The sequence below is a fragment of the Homo sapiens genome, chromosome 2 (assembly GCF_000001405.40).
Source record: "Homo sapiens chromosome 2, GRCh38.p14 Primary Assembly".
In the NCBI taxonomy this organism is placed as follows: Eukaryota; Metazoa; Chordata; class Mammalia; order Primates; family Hominidae; genus Homo; species Homo sapiens.
In genome coordinates this window covers 42,458,332-42,478,289 of record NC_000002.12, presented here as the reverse complement: position 1 = coordinate 42,478,289, position 19,958 = coordinate 42,458,332, and the positions used below count along the sequence as shown (strand labels likewise).

The 19,958-nt window shown below is 42.3% G+C and overlaps 1 protein-coding gene and 2 pseudogenes across 3 annotated transcripts in view; 2 read left to right on the top strand and 1 right to left on the bottom strand.

The window, feature by feature from the left end:
* KCNG3 (potassium voltage-gated channel modifier subfamily G member 3) overlaps positions 1 to 19,958 on the top strand; it is a 105,631-nt gene that overhangs the window by 15,693 nt on the left and 69,980 nt on the right. The gene's annotated exons all lie outside the window — the stretch shown is intronic.
* Positions 7,977 to 8,499, bottom strand: RPS13P3 (ribosomal protein S13 pseudogene 3; annotated as a pseudogene).
* On the top strand, positions 14,293 to 15,151 carry VDAC1P13 (voltage dependent anion channel 1 pseudogene 13; annotated as a pseudogene).

Genomic DNA, 19,958 nt, shown 5'->3' with positions numbered 1-19,958 from the left:
CACTCCAACCTGGGCAACATAGTGAGACCCTATCTCAAAAAAAATTCTAGTTTAATATATAATATGATAAATATAGATAGATGTAATTTACATAAAACAAAAGCTCCTTTAGATCCTCAGGAGTTGAGTGTAAAGGGGTCCTGAGCCGCAAAAGTTTGAGAACCATGGTTTTAAAGGCAACCAGTTTCCAAGTCCTCAACTTCAATGTGGACACCTATAACAAGTAGGCCTGAGAACGTGCCTGTGGTAAAGGCTCCAGGCTCTCCTTTCACAATTCCAACTCCCACTTTACAAACGAAAAACACTCCTCTCACTCATCCAGAACCTTACTAAGGTGCGTTGTGTCAGGGTATAAAACCCTGTGGGATGCCCGTGAAAGAGGTGACTCAAAAAAATATATATATATTTTTTGAGACGGGGTCTTGCTTTGTCACCCAGGCTGGAGTGCAGTGGCACGATCTTGGCTCACTGCAACTTCTGTCTCCTGGGTTCAAACGATTCTCTGGCCTCAGCCTCCCTAGTAGCTGGGATTACAGACATGCACTACCATGCTTGGCTAATTTTTATATTTTTAATAGAGACGGATTTTCGCTATGCTGGCCAGGCTAGTCTCGAACTCCTGACCTCAGGTGATCCACCCACCTCGGCCTCCCAAAGTGCTAGGATTGCAGGTCTGAGCCACCATGTCCGACCCCGACACAAATATCTAATAAAAATTTTGTATTGACCAGCTACTTGGGAGGCTGGGGCAGGAGAACGGCGTGAACCCGGGAGGTGGAGGTTGCAGTGAGCCGAGATTGCGCCACTGCACTCCAGCCTGGGCGACAGAGCAAGACTCCGTCTCAAAAAAAAAAAAAAAAAATATATGTGTGTGTGTGTGTGTGTGTGTGTGTGTGTGTGTATATATATGTGTGTGTATATATATGTATATACACACACATATATATAGTATTGAAAAATTTGTCTTGAAATATTTTAATGTATCGTCCCTTTCTGCCTTTAAGCATAAGAGTAACTAGTGTATTTAGCAGTCACTGGAAACCTTTTGATCTAAGTATTTTTTTTTAATCAGTACTTTTTTTTTTCTTTTTTTTTTTTGAAACAGAGTCTTGCTCTGTCGCTCAGGCTGGAGTGCAGTGGCGTAATCTCAGCTCCCTGCAACCTCCGCCTCCCGGGTTCACACCATTCTCCTGCCTCAGCCTCCTGAGCAGCTGGGACTACAGGTGCCTGCCACCACGCCCGGCTAATTTTTTTTTTTTATATTTTTTAGTAGAGACGGGGTTTCACCGTGTTAGCCAGGATGGTCTCGATCTCCGGACCTCGTGATCTCGCCGTCTCAGCCTCCCAAAGTGCTGGGATTACAGGTGTGAGCCACCACGCCCGGCCTTAAGCAGTACTTTTGAAGAAGTGAGAAAGTGAATGACTCTAATCATGGGCAACAAATTCTTTTGCAAAGTTATATGATTATCAGTTCTTTGCTTTTTACAAATGTTTTATTTTGTCCGGGCATGGTGGCTCACACCTGTAATCCCAGCACTTTGGGAGGCTGAGGCTGGCAGATCACTTGAGGCCAGGAGTTCGAGACCAGCCTGGCCAACATGGTGAAACCCCGTCTCTACTAAAAATACAAAAAACATTAGCCAGGCATGGTGGTGTGCGCCTATAACCCCAGCTACTTGGGAGGCTTAGGCATGAGAATCTCTTGAACCCGGGAGGTAGAGGTTGCAGTGAGCTGAGATCGTGCCACTGCACTCCAGCTGGGGTGACAGAGCAAGATTCTGTCTCAAAAATTTTTTTTTTTTTAAATTTTTATTGAGAAGGATCTCACTCTGTTGTCCAGGCTGGATTACAGTGGCATGATCTCAGCCCACTGCAGCCTTAACCTCCTGGGCTCAGGCAATCCTCCCACTTCAGCCTCTCAAGTAGCTGAGATTCCAGGCCTGTGCCACTGTACCTGGCTAATTTTTTGTATTTTTTTTTTGTAGAGACTGGGTTTCTCTATGTTGCCCAGGCTGGTCTCGAACTCCTGAGTTCAAGCAATCCTCCCACCTCGGCTTCCCAAAGTGCTGGGATAACAGGTTTGAGTCACTGCGCCCGGCCTGGTTGTAAAATTTGTAACAGATAAAGAGACATGAATAATTGAAAAAATTTTAAAAAACTGTACTTACTTTATTTAAAAAGTTTCAATAGAATTTTAATGTTTTATTAATTATTATTATTATATGAGACGGAGTTCACTCTTGTTGCCCAGGCTGGGGTGCAATGGCACGATCTTGGCTCACTGCAACCTCTGTCTCCCGGGTTCAAGTGATTCTCCTGCCTCAGCCTCCCGAGTAGCTGGGATTACAGGCATGTGCCACCACTCCTGGCTAATTTTGTATTTTTAGTAGATACGGGGTTTCACCATGTTGGTCAGGCTAGTCTCAGAAACTCCTGACTTCAGGTGATCCACCCACCTTGGCTTCCTTAAGTGCTGGGATTACAGGCTGAGCCACTGTGCTTGGCCCGATTTTATTAATTTTATACTGAATTTTGTAATATTCATGTTTTGATCAATTGCATCCTATTAATACTTGGAGTGGTAACTTGATGAAAAAATTTGACACAATTTACAGTCACAGGAATTTTTTTTTTTTTTTTTTTAAAGAGACAGAGTCTCAGACCGGGCGCAGCAGCTCATGCCTGTAATCACAGAACTTTGGGAGGCTGAGGTGGGCAGATCAGTTGAGGCCAGGAGTTCGAGACCAGCTTGGCCAACATGGCGAAATCCCGTGTCTACAAAAAAATAAAAGAATTAGCCAGGTGTAATGATGTGCACCTCTTATCCCAGCTATCCGGGAGGCTGAGGCACGAGAATCACTTGAACCTGGGAGAAAGAGGTTGCAGTGAGCCAAGATCGCACCACTGTACTCCTCCAGCCTGGGCGACAGAGCGAGACTCTATCTCAAAAAAAAAAAAAAAAAAAAGAGACAGAGGCTTGTTCTGTCACTCAGGCTGGAGTACAGTGGTGTGATCATAACTCACTGAAGCACCAAATTCCTGGCTCAGGCTATCCTCCTGCCTCAGCCTCTCAAGTAGCTGGGACTACACTGCACCCAGTAGCACAGGAAATTTTAAACAGTTAAATTGTAAGCCTATTTTTTGTTGTTGCAGAGAAAGGTAATGGGTGTTTACAAAATTTCAAGTATCAAAATATATTACAGTAGGTCCTTTTAAACCTTTGTTATAGAAGTTTGTTCAGCAAATATACTGAACACCTGTGTACTGTGTGCTAAGGACACAATGATGAGAAGACAGGAAATAAGGTAGCTTCCTTGCCCTTGTGTAGCCTGGTCTAATTATGATTAGTTTGCAGAAGTCGTGTACATTGGGTCAGCTGCCACTGGAGTAAGGCAGGCTGGCTCCTCCCAAACCTATTGCTTTCAAAGGATTCATCAGAACAAAAGAATTCCCCTTTATGTGTTCTCTTTAATTTGTCCATATGTAATTTTCTTTTTGTTTTACAACAAAAATTTTAAGTGAAAATTACAATGTAGTGCATAAAACTTAAGTGTAAGATTTGATAAAATTTGACAAATGTTTAAAAAATATATCAGGGCAAAATTAAGTGGGAGAAGCAGAATAGAAATATATGAGAAGAAGTAGCAATGTAAATTTTCTGTTAAAGATTAGTATATATTTTTTAAAATGAGAGTTGGTAGGTATATCAAAACATAATATTTAGATTCATAACCGTTTTTAAAATATATTTATTTTTTCTTTTGAGATGGAGTCTTGCTCTGTCACCAGGCTAGAGTGCAGTAGTGCCATCTTGGCTCACTGCAACCTGCGCCTCCTGGGTTCAAGCGATTCTCGTGCCTCAGCCTCCCGAGTAGCTGGGATTATAGGCATGCGTCACCATGCCCAGCTAATTTTTGTATTTTTAGTAGAGACAGGGTTTCACCACGTTGGCCAGGCTGGTCTCGAACTCCTGAACTCAGGTGATCCGCCCACCTTGGCCTCCCAAAGTGCTGGGATTACAGGTATGAGCCACCATGCCTGGCCGAACAGTGTTTTTTTTTCTCTCCGAGATGAACTCTTGCTCTGTCGCCCAGAGCAAGGGTTGTGGGATCCCACTGCTCTAGGTCACTAAGTCAAAATAGCATCACCAAGAGTCAGAAGATAAGGATGGTCAGCAAGGGGTGATCTCGGCTCACTGCAACCTCTGCCTCCTGGGTTCAAGCGATTCTCCTGCCTCAGCCTCCCAAGTAGCTGGGACTGCAGGTGTGTACCACCACACCCAGCTAATTTTTGTATTTTTAGTAGAGACGGGGTTTCACCATGTTGGCCAGGCTGGTCTCGAACTCCTGGCCTCAAGTGATCCAGCTGCCTCTGCTTCCCAAAGTGGTGGGATTACAGGCGTGAGCCACCGCGCCTGGCCTAACCTGAATAATTTATTTAAATGTTGGTGCTAAGTCATTACAGCAAATGCTTTGAAGATTTTTTTTTTCTAATATAAGTGTTGAAAATAAAGCAAAATTTAAGCATTTAAAAACCGAATTCCTTATGCCAATCAAAATGTGTTTTTCTTGACTACATCTATCAAAAACCTAAGAAGCAGAACAAATCAATCTGTGAAATAAAAGAAACACATGCTTTACAGCCAGCTATGGTGGCTTACTCCTGTAATCCCAGCACTTTGGGAGGCTGAGGCAGGCAGATCACTTGAGGTCAGGAGTTCGAGACCAGCCTGGCCAACATGGTGAAAACATATCTCTACTAAAAATACAAAAATTAGTCAGGCATGGTGGTGTGTGCCTGTAGTCCCAGCTACTCAGGAGGCTGAGGCAGGAGAATCCCTTGAACCTGGGAGGCGGAGGTTGCAGTGAGCTGAGATCGGGCCACTGAACTCCACCATGGGAGACAGAGTGAGACTGTCTCAAAAAAACAAACAAAAAAAAAAGAAACATGCTTTACAATGGTAGAAGAGGAAATTATGCATAAAAGTCATTATAAAGTCTTTCAGGCATATAAAAAACAATAGATGATAACACAATTAATACCTGTTTACCCACTACCCAATTAAAGAAATAAAACATTAAAAATATTGTTGAGGGCCGGACGCGGTGGCTCACACCTGTAATCTCAGCACTTTGGGAGGCCGAGGCAGGTGGATCATGAGGTCAGGAGATGGAGACCATCTGGGCTAACACGGTGAAACCCCGTCTCTACTAAAAATAGATTAGCCGGGCGTGGTGGCGGGTGCCTGTAGTCCCAGCTACTTGGGAGGCTGAGGCAGGAGAATAGCGTGAACCTGGGAGGCGGAGCTTGCAGTGAGCCGAGATTGCGCCACTGCACTCCAGCCTGGGCAACAGAGCGAGACTCTGTTTCAAAAAAAAAAAAAAAATATATATATATATCTATCGATAGATCTATATATATATATTTATAGATTATATATTTACATAGATATCTATATATAGATATCTAGATATATCGATATATGTATAGATCTATAGATATATCGTTGAGCCTGTAATCCCAGCACTTTGGGAGGCCGAGGCGGGTATATCACCTGAGGCCAATAGTTTGAGACCAGCCTGTGCAACGTGGTGAAACCCTGTCTTTACCAAAAAATACAAAAATTAGCCGGGTATGTTGGCATATGCCTGTAGTCCCAGCTACTGGGGAGGCTGAGGTGGAGAATCGCTGGAACCCAGGAGAGAGAGGTTGCAGTGAGCCGAGATCGTGCCAGTGCACTCCAGCCTGGGTAACAGCGTGAGTCCTTGTCTCAAAAAAAAAAAAAATGCAGTCGAAGTTTACTGAGTGCCTCTTTCCCATTGAAATCCCTTCATTTTCCACAGAAAGTGGCACTCTCCTGACTTTGATGTTATTCCCATGTACTTAAAAATACATTTAATATATGATTATGTACACGAAATATAGCATTGTTTTGCATACACTGTTTTTATAATGGTATAATCAATGGAGTCCAGAGCTTGCCTTTTTAGTTCAACTTCATGTCACGTTTGATTTCTATGGCTGTAGCCCTTGCATTTTAACTGTAATGTAGTAGGAATTGATTTATTTGTTCTTTTGTTCACAGAAATTTTGCTATTACTGTAGTGCTGCAATGAATAGTTTTGTTCATGTCTCAGTGCACATGTAGGAGACCTTCTTTAATGCATCTACCTAGGATTGGAGTTGCTGTATTGAAAAGTATGCACATCTCTCCTCGATGTTGCTAAATAGCTCTCCAGAGTAGTTCTACTGATTTATATTCTTAACAGTAGTGAATAGAAGTCCTGTTGTTCAATATCCTTGCCATTTCTACATGTTGTCAGACTTTAACACTTTGCTAATCTGGTAGATATGAAATATATTTTGCTTTTTTTCTTTTTTCTTTCTTTTTTTTTTTTTTTTTTGAGATACAGGGTCTCGCTGTGTCACTTAGGCTGGAGTGCAGTGGTGCAGTCATGGCTCACTACAGCCTCAACCTCCTGGGCTAGAGCAGTTCTCCTGCCTCTGCCTCCCAAAGTGCTGGGATTACAGGCATGAGCCACTGTACCCAGCCTCATGTCTGGCTTCTTTTGATGAGCATAATGTTTAAAAACATTTATCTGCATGTTGTTTGTATTGCTCATTCCTTTTTTAAAAATTGAGATATAATCCATGTAACAAAATTTACCATTTCAAGTATACAATTTGGTGGTTTTTATGATACGCACTACATTGTACAACTATCATCACTATTCCAGAACATTTTCATCACCCCAAAAAGAAACCTACTTGTTAGGTAGTCACACCCTGTTCCCCCTCCTCGCATACCCTGACAACCATCTGCTATCTATCTCCATGGATTTGCCTATTCTGGACATTTCATATGAATACAGTTATACAACATGGAGCCTTTTGTGTCTGGCTGCTTTCACTTAGTTTATTATCAAGATTCATCCATGTGGTATTTTATTCCTTTTATGATTGGATAATAATCTATTGTATGGTTATGCAACATGTTGTTTACCCATTCATCAGTTGAACATTTGTATTGTTTTTACTTTTTGATTATTATGACTGCTATAAACATTTGTGTCCAAATTTTTGTGTGAATATATATATATATATACACACACACACACACACACACACACACACTTTTTTGAGACAGTCTCACTCTGTTGCCCAGGCTGGAGTTCAGTGGCACGATCATAGCTCACTGCAGCCTTGAAGCCCTAGGCTCAAGTGATCCTCTACCCTCAGCTTTCCAAGTAGCTGGTGCTACAGGCATTTACCACCACGCCTGGCTAATTTAAACATTTTTTGTAGAGTTAGGATCTCACTGTGTTGCCCAGGCTGGTCTCGATCCTCAAGTGATCCTTCCACTTTTGCCTCCCAAAGTGCTGGGATTACAGGTGTGAGAGCCACGCCACCTGGCCCCCCACTTCTTTTTTTTTGAGACAAGGTCTTGCTCTGTTGTCCAGGCTGGAGTGCAGTGATGTGACCATGGCTCACTGCAGCCTCAGCCTCCCATGTCAGCCTCCTGAGTACCTGGGACTACAGACATATGCCACCACGTCTGGCTAATTTTTGTACTTTTTTGTAGAGACAGGTTCCCACTGTGTTGCCCAGGCCAGTTTCAAACTCCTGGGCTCAAGCTATCTGCCTGCCTCAGCCTCCCAAAGTGCTGGGATTACAGTTGTGAGCCACCGTGCTTGATCCTGACTTTTCTTTTTCTAAATGGTTGATTATACATCCTAGGTACTGATTGTGTATTGCAAATATCTTGTCTTATTTATTTATTTTAAAATATTTGTAGAAACAGGGTCTTACTATGTTGCACAGGCTGGTCTTGAACTCCTGCATTCCTCCTGTACGGACCTCGAAGTGTCTGGAGTACAGGCGTGAGCTACAATGCCTGACTGCAAATATCTTTCTGACTGTGGCTGGTATTTTTACTTTGTTTATGGTGTTTTGGGGCTTATAGAATCTGTACATTTTTTTAAAATTTAAACAATTATTTTATTGCGTGAGTACATAGACAAATTTATGCGACCAGGACAGAGGCTGTAGATGACTCATATTTCCAATTGGGAGGGAGGACTCGCTTTGTCTTATAATATCAAGCCAAATGGTGAATCTGACGCTCTATCAGAATCAGACAGAATTTAGCATCCTTATCCTTTCTATTCCTCTCAAGATGCTTTTGAACAGCAACTGCTTTCTTAATTAAATGGTAGAGATCTTCAGGGAGATCAGGAGCAAGTCCTTTGGACTTAAGAATTCTTAAGATTTTATTGCCTGTCACAAAACGTACTTGTGCAACACCATGTGTCTCTCTGTATCACACCGGTTTGTGAAGGAGTCAGGCCTTGTTGGCCAGTTTGTAAATCTCCTTCATTTCATCAGATGTCAACTTCAGCCAAGTGGTGATGCTGCACTGTTAGGGTAGAGCCAACCAGGACAGGCCCTTCCTGGGAGCATGCATGCAACCCATGATGGCAGCAGTCAGGCAGCGAAAGGAAGAAGCTGTACATTTTAACAGACAAATTTATCAAATTTTTCTTTATGATTAGTGTGATTTTTAACTTGTCTGAGAAAATATCCAATATCGTCTCCAAGATCATAAAGATTCTTTTATATTTTCTTTAAAGTTTTAAATATATTTATAAATAATTTACTTAACTTTTACATTTCAAATTGAGTCTTTAGTCCACCTATTATTATTTATGTGAGGAATTTAATTTTATTCACGTGGATAACACTTTCCTTAGCACTACAGAATAGTCCAGTATGTACTTCACTAATCTGAAGAGCCTCATTTGCCATTTATCTTGTTTCTGTGGGTATGTGGATCTACTTCTAGGTTCACTATCCTATTTTTTTTTTTTTTTTTTGAGACAGAGTCTTGCTCTGTCACCCGGGCTCGTGTGCAATGGCCTGATCTTGGCTCTCTGCAACCTCCGCCTCTTGGGTTCAAGCGATTCTTCTGCCTCGGCCTCCTGAGTAGCTGGGATTACAGGCATGCACCACCACACCTGGCTAATTTTTGTATTTTTAGTAGAGATGGGGTTTCCCCATGTTGGCCAGGCTGGTCTCCACCTTCTGACCTCGTGATCCAGCTGCCTCGGCCTCCCAAAGTGCTGGGATTACAAGTGTGAGCCACTGCGCCCGGCCTGCCATCCTATTAATTCCAGCATTCACACTATACTGTCTTAATTACTGAAATAATATAATCAGCTTATTAATTACCATGAAAACCCTTCTTGGGAATTTTGATCACATTACACTAAAATTTTTTGCATTAAATTTATGGATTTAGGGAGTTGGCATTTTTTTTTTTTTTTTTTTTTTTTTTTGGAGACGGAGTCTTGCTGTGTCGCCCAGGCTGTAGTGCAGTGGCATGATCTCGACTCACTGAAACCTCCGCCTCCCAGGTTCAAGCAATTCTCTGCCTCAGCCTCTGGAGTAGTTGAGATTACAGGTGCCTGCCACCAAGCCCAGCTAATTTTTTTGTATTTTTAGTAGAGACGGGGTTTCACCATCTTGGCCAGGTTGGTCTTGAACTCCTGACTTCGTGATCCACTTGCCTCATCCTCCCAAAGTGCTGAGATTACAGGCGTGAGACACTGCGCCCAGCCTGAGAGTGGGCATTTTTACATTATTTAGTTTTATTATCCATGAACATAGTATATAATTCCACTTACTCCACTATTCTTTAATGTCTTTCAATAAAGTTTTATGATTTTCATCTAAAAATTATTTTATATCTTTTGTTAGATTTATATCTAGGTACCTTATAACTTGTGTTGCTATTGCTGATTATATCCTTTTTAAAAATTATAATTTCTGCCTTTTGCTGATATAGCTGTACAGTTGATTTTGTACCTTCATCTTACTTGTAGCAGTATAGACTGTCCCTAATTTATGATGGTTCAATTTAAGATTTTTTGATTTTATGATGAGTTTATTGGAATTTAACTTCATTGTATGTCAAAGAGCACCTGTACTTTTCATTTATTCTAATAATTCAAAGGGTCTATTTTTGTTGTAATGTAGACAGTGATACTGTCTGGAAATAAAGACAGTCTTTGCAACCTTTATAATACCTTTGTCTTGCTGCAGTGACTAAACCCTCTAGAGTTGTACTGATGAGAAATGGTGACAGCCGGCATTCTTGTCTTTTTATTTTTATTTTTAAATGCATTTTTGGATCACATTTGCTAATTTATGTAGAATTTTTGCATCTGTGTTTCTAAGTAAGATTGGCCTACAGTTTTTCTCTCTTGTACTGTCTGTCTGGGTTTGGTATCAACATTTCAGTAACTTTTTTTTTTTTTTTTGAGACAGGGTCTCATTCTGTCACCCAGGCTGATGTGCAGTGGCATGATAATGGCTCACTGCAGCCTCAATCTCTCCAGGCTCGGGTGATCCTCCCACCTCAGCTCCCCAGTAGCTAGGACTATAGGGGCATGCTACCATGCCTGGCTAATTTTTGTATTTTTTGTAGAGACAAGAGTTTCGCCATGTTGTCCAGGCTGGTCTTGAACTCCTGGGCTCAAGCAGTCTGCCTGCCTTGGCCTCCCAAAGCGCTAGGATTACTGTTGTGAGCCATCACACATGGTTCTAATTTTTTTTTTTTTTTTGAAACAGAGTCTCACTCTGTCACCCAGGCTGGAGTGCAGTGGCATGATCTCAGTTCACTGCAACCTCCACCTCCTGGGTTCAAGTGATTCTCCTGCCTCAGCCTCCTGAGTAGCTGGGATTACAGGCATGTGCCACCATGCCTGGCTCATTTTTGTATTTTTAGTAGAGATGGGTTTTCACCATGTTGGCCAGGCTGGTCTTGCACTCCTGACCTCAGATGATCCACCCGCCTTGGCCTCCCAAAGTGCTGGGATTACAGGCGTGAGTTGCTGCGACTGGCCTTTCACTGACTTTTTAAAATGAGTTGGTGACTGCTTTTTTAATTATTTGGGACAGTGTTATATAAAATAGGAATTATTCATGCTTGGTATATGATAGAACTTGCCTGTAAAATCATCTGGACCCGGTATGCATCTTTTGGTGAATAGATGTCAAAGTGTAGATTCAATTTTTTTCATGATTGTAGGACCGTTCAGTTTTTCCAGTTATTCTAAAACTGAAAATTTTGGTCTGATTCATTTTTCTGGGAAATTGTCCATTTCACCTAAATTTTCACATTTATCTTCATGGAGTGGTTTAATATATTTTTATGTTTTTATAAAAGATCTGTTTTTGGCCGGGCGCAGTGGCTCCTGCCTATAATCCCAGCACTTTGGGAGGCCGAGGCGGGCGGATCACCTGAGGTCAAGAGTTGGAGACCAGCCCGGCCAACATGGTGAAACCCCATCTCTACTTAAAATACAAAAATTAGCCAGACGTGGTGGCAAGTGCCTGTAATCCCAGCTACTAGGGAGGCTGAGGCAGGAGAATCGCTTGAACCCGGGTGGCAGAGGTTGCAGTGAGCCGAGATCGCACCACTGCACTCCAGCCTGGATGACAGAGCGAGACTCCATCTCAAAAAAAAAAAAAAAAAGGAAGAGTATTTGCAGTTTTTGCCACTAATTCCTATGGCAAAAACCACAATTAACTTTTGTACCAGTCTACCATTCTGTACTCCCACCAACAGTACACAGTCGTGTGTCGCATAACGACCGGAGATGCTTGGGAGATTTCTTTGCTCTGTGAACGTCATAGAGAGTCCTCACACAAACCTAGATGGTACTGCCTGCTACATACTTCACCACTTAGGCTGTATAGTATAGCCTATTGCTCCTAGGCCACAAGCTTATGCAGAATCTACTGAATACTGTAGGCAGTTACAACACAGTGGTAAATACTTGTGTATTGTATTTCGTTTTTGTTTTTGTTTTTGTTTGTTTGAGACAGAGTCTCTCTCTGTTGCTGAGGCTGGAGTGCAGTGGCACATGATCTTGGCTCACTGCAACCTCCGCCTCCTGGTTTCAAGCGATTCTCCTGCCTCAGCCTCCCGAGTAGCTAGGATTACAGGCAGGCACCACCACGCCTGACTAATTTTTGTATTTTTGTTAGAGACAGGGTTTCACCATGTTGACCAGGCTGGTCTCGAACTCCTGACCTTAGGTGATCCGCCTATCTTGGCCTCTCAAGGTGTTGGGATTACAGATGTGAGCCATTGTGCCTAGCCTATTTGTGTATTTAAACATACCTAAACAGAGAAAAGGTATAGTAAAAATGCAGTATTATAATCTTATGGAACTACTGTCATATATACGATCCATTGTTGACAGAAATGTCATTATGTGGTGTATGACTGTATACGGTTTCAGTTACTTCACAAACTTGGTGTTATTGGTTTTACAAATTTTTGTTATTCTGTCTCAAGTGTAGTAATGTCTCATTGTGGTGTTAATTTCTCTGATGACAGAGTTGATCATCATTTTCATTAGCTTATTGGCTTTTTACATAATTTATTATGTGAAATGTTTGTCCACATAGCCTATTTTTTAAAAAATGGGTTATTTTTGCTATTGAGTTTCAGGAGTTCTTTGTACAATCTGGATACTAGTCCTTTGTCAGATAAATGTGTTGTGAATATTTTCCTCTAGTTTTTTGGTTTGCCAATTTATTTTCTTAGTGGTGTCTTTTACTATACTAAAGTTTTAAATTTTGGTGAAGTCTAATTTATCAGTATTTTCTTTCATGATTACTACTTTTTGTGCCCTATGTAAGAAAGTTTGCCTACTTGCTCAGTCACAAACATTACTCCTGTGTTTTCTTCTAAAATCTTTATAGGCTGAGGACAATGGCTCACTCCTGTAATACTAGCACTTTGGGAGGCTGAGGTGGGTGGATCACTTGAGCCCAGGAGTTCAAGACCAGCCTGGGCAACATGGTGAAATCCCGTCTCTGCTAAAAATACAAAAACTAGTTGGGCGTGGTGGTGCACACCTGTAGTCCGAGCTACTTGGGAGGCTGAGGTGGGAGGATCACCTGAGCCTGGGAGGTAGAGGTTGCAGTGAGCCATGATCGTGCCACTGCACTCCAGGCTGAGCGACAGAGCCAAACCCTGTTTCAAAAAAAAAAAAAGAAAGAAAGAAAGAAATTAAATACTCTTAAAAAAATAAAATCTTAAAGTTTTCACTTTTAAATTTAGTACTACACTCATTCTCATTAATTTTTGTGTGTGGTATGAAGTAAGGATAGTAATGCATTATCTCTAATTGTTAAAATCAACACACCAAATATATCATTTTGTCCTAAATATTCCATTAGACTGATAAAACAGTTGAACTCTCTAATGATTAAATTTTTTGTACCATTAATTTAGTCAAGCAACGTATTTTCTGGGTACCTATTAAGTGCCATGATTAGGCAATATAGTGTTTTTTGTTTGTTTTTTTTAAAGACACACAGCCCTACTTGCTTCCTAGCTGGAGAGACAGACGGCTGAATTTACAACCACTACACGTTGTGCTATGTGCACTGCTAGAGATAAGCACTGACTGCTGTAGGAACATCAGGGAGAAGCTCAGCCATGCTAGTGGACCTAAGATAAGGATTCCCTGGGGTGGTGATCCTTGAGCTCAGACTTGAAGGCCTGGTTGATGCTGGCCAAGAAGGGAGGGTAGATGTGCAAAGGCAAGAGGCGTGAGAAGACTGGGGACTGTGTTACTTTCCATTAGTTGGAGCAGATGGTACAAGGCGGAGAGTGGCAGATCTGAAGCTTTGGATGATAACTCATGCATTTTAGCTGTTATCTGTGGAGAGTTAGGAGTCAGCAATACCTCAGTACTCAGAGTATTCGAGTATTGCTGCTTTTAGTACTGCGAATGTTTTTGTATTCATGACTATAGACTAAAACACTTAGCTTATTGTTTCAGGAAGACCTTATAGTCTAGATACTTTGAAATATCCCTACCTTTGTTTAAATCTTTTGTTTTGGCCAGGCTCAGTGGCTCATGGTCTGTAATCTGAGCACTTTGGGAGGCCAAGGCAGGTGGATCACTTGAGGCCAGCAGTTCTAGACCAACCTGGGCAACTTGTTTTAATGTACATTTGGAAACTTTGTGTGCGTAGAAGTATCATTGTCCTAATGTTTGCAGTGAGTACCTAGTACACAGTAGTTAAGTAAGAATAATCTGAGTTGAGCACTGGACACATTAGTTACCTGTTGTTAGGAAATAGCAAATAATGATATCAGAATGAACTACCTCGCTTTTCAAAATGTCATTTGTTGAGGCAGCCCCCGCTGCAGCCACCACCGAGCCTGCCACCACCACTGAGCCCACTGCCACCGCCTCTAAGCAGAAGATGGTTAAGCCTCCCACGTACGCTGATCTTGGCAAATCTGCCAGGGATGTGTTCACCAAGGGCTGTGGATTAGGCTTAATAAAACTTGATTTGAAAACAAAATCTGAGAAGGGATTAGAATTTACAAACTAGGCTCAGCCAACACTGAGGCCACCAAAGTGACTGGCAGCCTGCGAACCAAGTACAGATGGACCAGATATGGCCTGACAGTTATGGAGAAATGAAACACTGACCGCACACCAGGCACCGAGATTGCGTGGAGGATCAGCTTGCATGTGGACTGAAGCTGACCTTTGATTCATCGCTTGTCACCTAATGCTGGGGGGAAAAAATGCTAAAATCAAAACTGCTATAGGCAGGAGCATATCAACCTGGGTTGCACCGTGGATTGTTGAGGCTTCAATCTGGGGTGCCCTGGTGCTGGGTTATGAGGGCTGGCTGGATGGCTACCGGATGAATTTTGAGACCACAGAGTTTTAAGAGAAGCAGAGGGACTTTACTCTTGGCTACAAGATTGATGAATTCCAGCTTCACACTTATGTGAATGACGGGGCAGAGTTTGGCACCTTTGTTTCCCAGAGGTGAATAAGAAGTTGGACACTGCTGTTAAGCTTGCCTGGATATCAGGAAACAGTAACACTCACTTCATCAGGAAACAATAACACTCACTACAGCAGGCAAGTATCAGATGGACCCTGATGCCTGCTTCTTGGCTAAAGTGTACAACCCTAGCCTGATAGGTTTAGGGTACACTCAGACCGTAAAGCCAAGTATCAAGCTGATGCTGTCAGCTCAGCTGGATGGCAAGAACGTCGATGCTGGTGGCCATGAGCTTGGTCTAGGATTAGAATTTCAAGCACAAATGAATACTGTACAGTTGTTTAATTTTAAACTATTTTGCAGTGTAGCTACCTTCAGAATTTAATGTATCTTTTAACATATATTTGAGATGCAAGTATTGCTACATTTCATGCTAGACCTCCAGGTTAAAGATGATTCAAAGAGTGCTACCTTTTCAGACATACAGAAGAAACCCAATTCCAAAAAAGGTCCTTTTAGCTGTAGACTTGGGGGGAATTTGGTAGCCCTTCTAGAGATGCCAGGTTTTAAAAAAATCTTGCAGTGGCTGCAAGTGGAAGATGATTATGTATAGGCACTTTGTAAATTTGTATTGAATAAATGAATGAAACTGTGACTTCCTGATAATTGAACCTTGGTTTCCTAACCCCAGTTGATCAGAGGCTCATTGCTTCGTGGTGTGTACAAATTCACCTGACAAAGACTTTTTAATTTTTATTATTTATTTATTTATTTTTGAGACAGAGTCTCACTCTGTCGCCCAGGCTGGAGTGCAGTGCTGTAGTCTCAGCCCACTGTAACGTCTGCCTCGTGGGTTCAAGTGATTCTCGTGCCTCAGCCTCTCCAGTAGCTAGGATTACAGGCACGTGCCACCACGCCCGGCTAATTTTTGTATTTTTAGTAGAGACGGGGTTTAACCATGTTGACCAGGCTGGTCTCCAACTCCTGACCTCAAGTAATCCAAAGTGCTGGGATTACAGGCATGAGCCACTGCACCCGGCTAAGGGATCTTTTTAGACAGATCTTCATGACCTGTTCCCATCCCAGTCCTTCATCACCTGTCTTATACCAAAAGGTCTGCAGGGTGTGATAGCTGCTTCTTTTCTACCATTTTGGGGTGGAGAGGGTGGATCTGATGAAGCTGATAATTCAGGACTGAATTCCTTCTCTTGTTGTGCTTTTTTGCCCTTGCACTAGAGTATGAAATAGCTTCCAGGAGCTCCAGCTATAAGCTGGGGAGAGGTTGTGTGATTGTAATCACATGGTGACAACACTTAAAATCTAAATTGGACTTCTGTTGCATTCTCACCACTCAATTTATTTTTTAGCAGTTTAATGGGTACATTTTAGAGTCTTTCATTTTGTGTGGAATTAGATCCTCCCCTTCAAGTGCTGTAATTAACATCACTTAAAATAAAACTTGAATAAAATATTGAAACCTCAAAAAATTAAAAATATCATTTGTTGAAATTCATCTTCCCAAGTTGTTCTGTAGATAAAAACTATCTTGAAGCCAAAATGGTAATATACTATTAAAGAAAAGAATTGTTATCACTTTTTGTAAGGTGATCTTGTTTGAAGAGGTAGATCTTGATATCCTTTCTAGTCTCATAATTCTTTTACTAATGAACTGCCAGTTAAATAAAAAGGGAATAGAACCCATGTGGTAGTCATGTATGGAATAGGAACAGATTATTGAGATTGATCTTCTTGTATTATTTAGGCAAATATATGTACATTGGGGTGGTGGTGAAGGTGCAGAAAGGGATTGTGGCACCTGAAGATTAAGGGGGCCCACCCGGAGTGGAGAGTGTGGGGCCGGGGACCACAGGTGCTGTCAGGCCTGGGTTTCTGCTGCTGTCATCTCTGGAAAGTTTTTAGCAGTGAGAGTCAGAACCACAGATTTTTGATCTCTTCGCCTGTATGCATATGTCCTCTACAGCATGGTAGTCTTCTGAAAACACACTCCCTGGCTCTGGTGAAGAGAAGTGCACCCTGATTTCTGGGTCAGTCAGAAATCTTGAGAGTTTCTGACTCTCAAGAGCCTCAGGCAAGGCGCACACAGAAACACCTCTGGTTTGTCCATGGAGCCAGTTCAGAGCTAAGGAAAAAGCAACCCAAGTCCTCTGTTAGAGCGTAATGAACACGAACACTGATGCATGGGATGGATGAAATTCTTTATGTAAATTAGCTCCTAGAAGATGATGTCTACCTTTTTTTTTTTTTTTTTTTTTTTGTTTTGTTTTGTTTTGTTTTTGGAGACAGAGTCTTGCTGTGTCACCCAGGCTGGAGTGCAGTGGCGTGATCTCGGCTCACTGCAAGCTCCACCTCCTGAGTTCACGCCATCCTCCTGCCTCAGCCTCCCGAGTAGCTGGGACTACAGACGCATGCTGCCACGCCTGGCTAATTTTTTGTATTTTTAGTAGAGACGGGGTTTCACCACGTTAGCCAGGGTGGTCTTAATCTCCTGACCTTGTGATCTGCCCACCTCGGCCTCCCAAAGTGCTGGGATTACAGATATGAGCCACCGCGCCTGGCCTACCTTTTTATCAGTTAAGAAAATCAAAGGAATAGTCAGAGTAGCCATTTTTTTGTAAGATGTTTTGGGGTGCCTTTTGTTTTCTTCACTTGCCTTTCCATTTAGGGGAAGCCTAAACACTGGTCAGTGGCCCAGTGTCGTGTACCTGTTTAATCTATGTAGGGCATCTGCTCACATCTGTGTTTTGTTTTGTTAACTTTTTAAATGTAATTGCTTTTACTTCATCAGGTATCTGGCACTTTCCTGATTTTGTTTTTGCCAAATTAAATCGCCACTTTCTCAAAGAAGCTTTCCGTGGTCTCCCAGATGAAGAAAAACTTATCTTCTTCTGAACTTAATGCACATCAATTATAGCATTTATTACTTTCTACATTCTATTTTTGAGTTCTTAAGGATTGGATTGTTGTTAGGGAGGGTATATCTTACCCTTTGCTAGGTCGCAAACTTTCAGTCTGTTTTATCTTCTTTTAAAAATCTTTTTATTTTGAAATGATTTAATTATTAATTAATTAGTTAATTGATTTATATTTAGAGAGAGTGTTGCTTTGTTGCCCAGGCTGGAGTGCAGTGGTATAATCATGACTCACTGCAGCCTCAAACTCCTGGGTACAGGCAATTCTCCCACCTTCTGAGTAGCTAGGGCTACAGGCGTGCACCATCATGCCTGCTATTTTTTTTGTAGAGATAAGGGTCTTGCTATGTTGTCCATGCTGGTCTCATACTCCTGGCTTCAAGAAGTCCTCCCACCTCAACCTCTCAAAGTGCTGGGATTACAGATGTAAGCCACCTTGCCTGGCTTAAAATAGTTTTATACTTGCAAGAAGTTGCAAAAACAGCACAGAGAGTTCTGTTTTACCCTTCATCTGGTTTCCCCAATGATAACATCTTTTTTTTTTTTCTTTTTGAGATGGAGTCTCTCTCTATTGCCCAGGCTGGAGTGCAGTGGTGCAATCTCGGCTCCCTGCAAGCTCCACCTCCCGGGTTCACACCATTCTCCTGCCTCAGCCTCCCGAGTAGCTAGGACTACAGGTGTCCGCCACCATGCCCAGCTAATTTTTTGTATTTTTAGTAGAGACAGCGTTTCACCATGTTAGCCAGCATGGTCTCGATCTCCTGACCTCATGATCCACCCGCCTTGACCTCCCAAAGAGCTGGGATTACAGGCGTGAGCCACCACGCCCGGCCGATAACATCTTACATAACTGTGCTTAAGTTCTATCTTTAGTTTATCTTTATGCACCTCTCTGTGGCTCTGTAGAGCCTGACATACATTAGGCAGTCACTCATGAGCTTTGTTGCATGGTGAATGAATTAATGGGCTCCATGGGCTTACAGCCACATCCAGGTTAATATGTTGTCATCCCATCCTGACTTGAGGACATTGCATCATCCTGGCTACAAGTGACCTGTCTCAACAGACTCAGACTGAAGCCATGCACATTTCGTGCCTCCTTTGTGCACATTAGTTGACTTGCCAGGCAGGGAGGGTGAGAAAGGACTCTGGGATAAATGCCCACACTCTGAGATTTATTTCAAAATAAGACATGAGGGAGGTAGATGAGGATGTGGAGCGGGTCAGAACTGGCTTTGGGCTGATGGTGAATGGGGCTGGGTATCTGGGGGGTCATAAAACCATAATACCATTCTGTCTTCTCACTCTCTCTATTTTTTTTTTTTTTTGAGACGATGGAGTTTCGCTCTTGTTGCCCAGTCTGGAGTGCAGTGGTGCGATCTTGGCTCACTGCAACCTCCACATCCCGGGTTCAAGCGATTCTCCTGCCTAAGCCTCCCGAGTATCTGGGATTACAGGCGTGTGCCACCACGCCCAGCTAATTTTGTATTTTTAGTAGAGATGGGGTTTCACCATGTTGGTCGGACTCGTCTTGAACTCCTGACCTCAGGTAATCCACCCACCTTGGCCTCAAAAAGTGCTGGGATTTCAGGCGTCTGGCCATTCTGTCTTCTCTTGTATGTTGAATGGTCTCAGTTCTTCATCTCTAAAAGTTTAAGAAACAAAAGCCTACCCCACACTGACATAATATCAAAACTGTTTCTTCCTGAGGTTCCTTTTTTTTTTCTTTTTTAAGTAATGGGGTCTCCTATGTTGCTTCTTTCTGAGGTTTTAAAGTCTGTCTCTACAAGCTCACACTAGCAGGACAGAACTCCTTGCAAGACACTACCTCGGGCTACACTGCAGACACTCCAATGCACTTAGGTCATATATTTGGGTTGAATATTGAATTATGCCAAAAGGAGTCAGAAAAGATAAGGGTTATTTGTAGTAATTGCCTGTAATTTTTCACAGAAACACACTTTGATGGAGATTTATATGTGATGGATAGCCCCTGTCTTAGCAGGACAGGTATTGTTGCCTTTGCATTTGCAGTCAGGAACTTGGTTGTTTCTTTGTAGGGGGTCATCAGTCCCTGTTTCCCAATAAAGAGAGAATGTGAATCTGGTACCTCTGTTGCCAAAACAGAGGACAGAGGAACCACAGAGGGTAAACTGTGTTTAGGAGGCAGAGGCCAGATTCCTCAGGCAAGGGCGC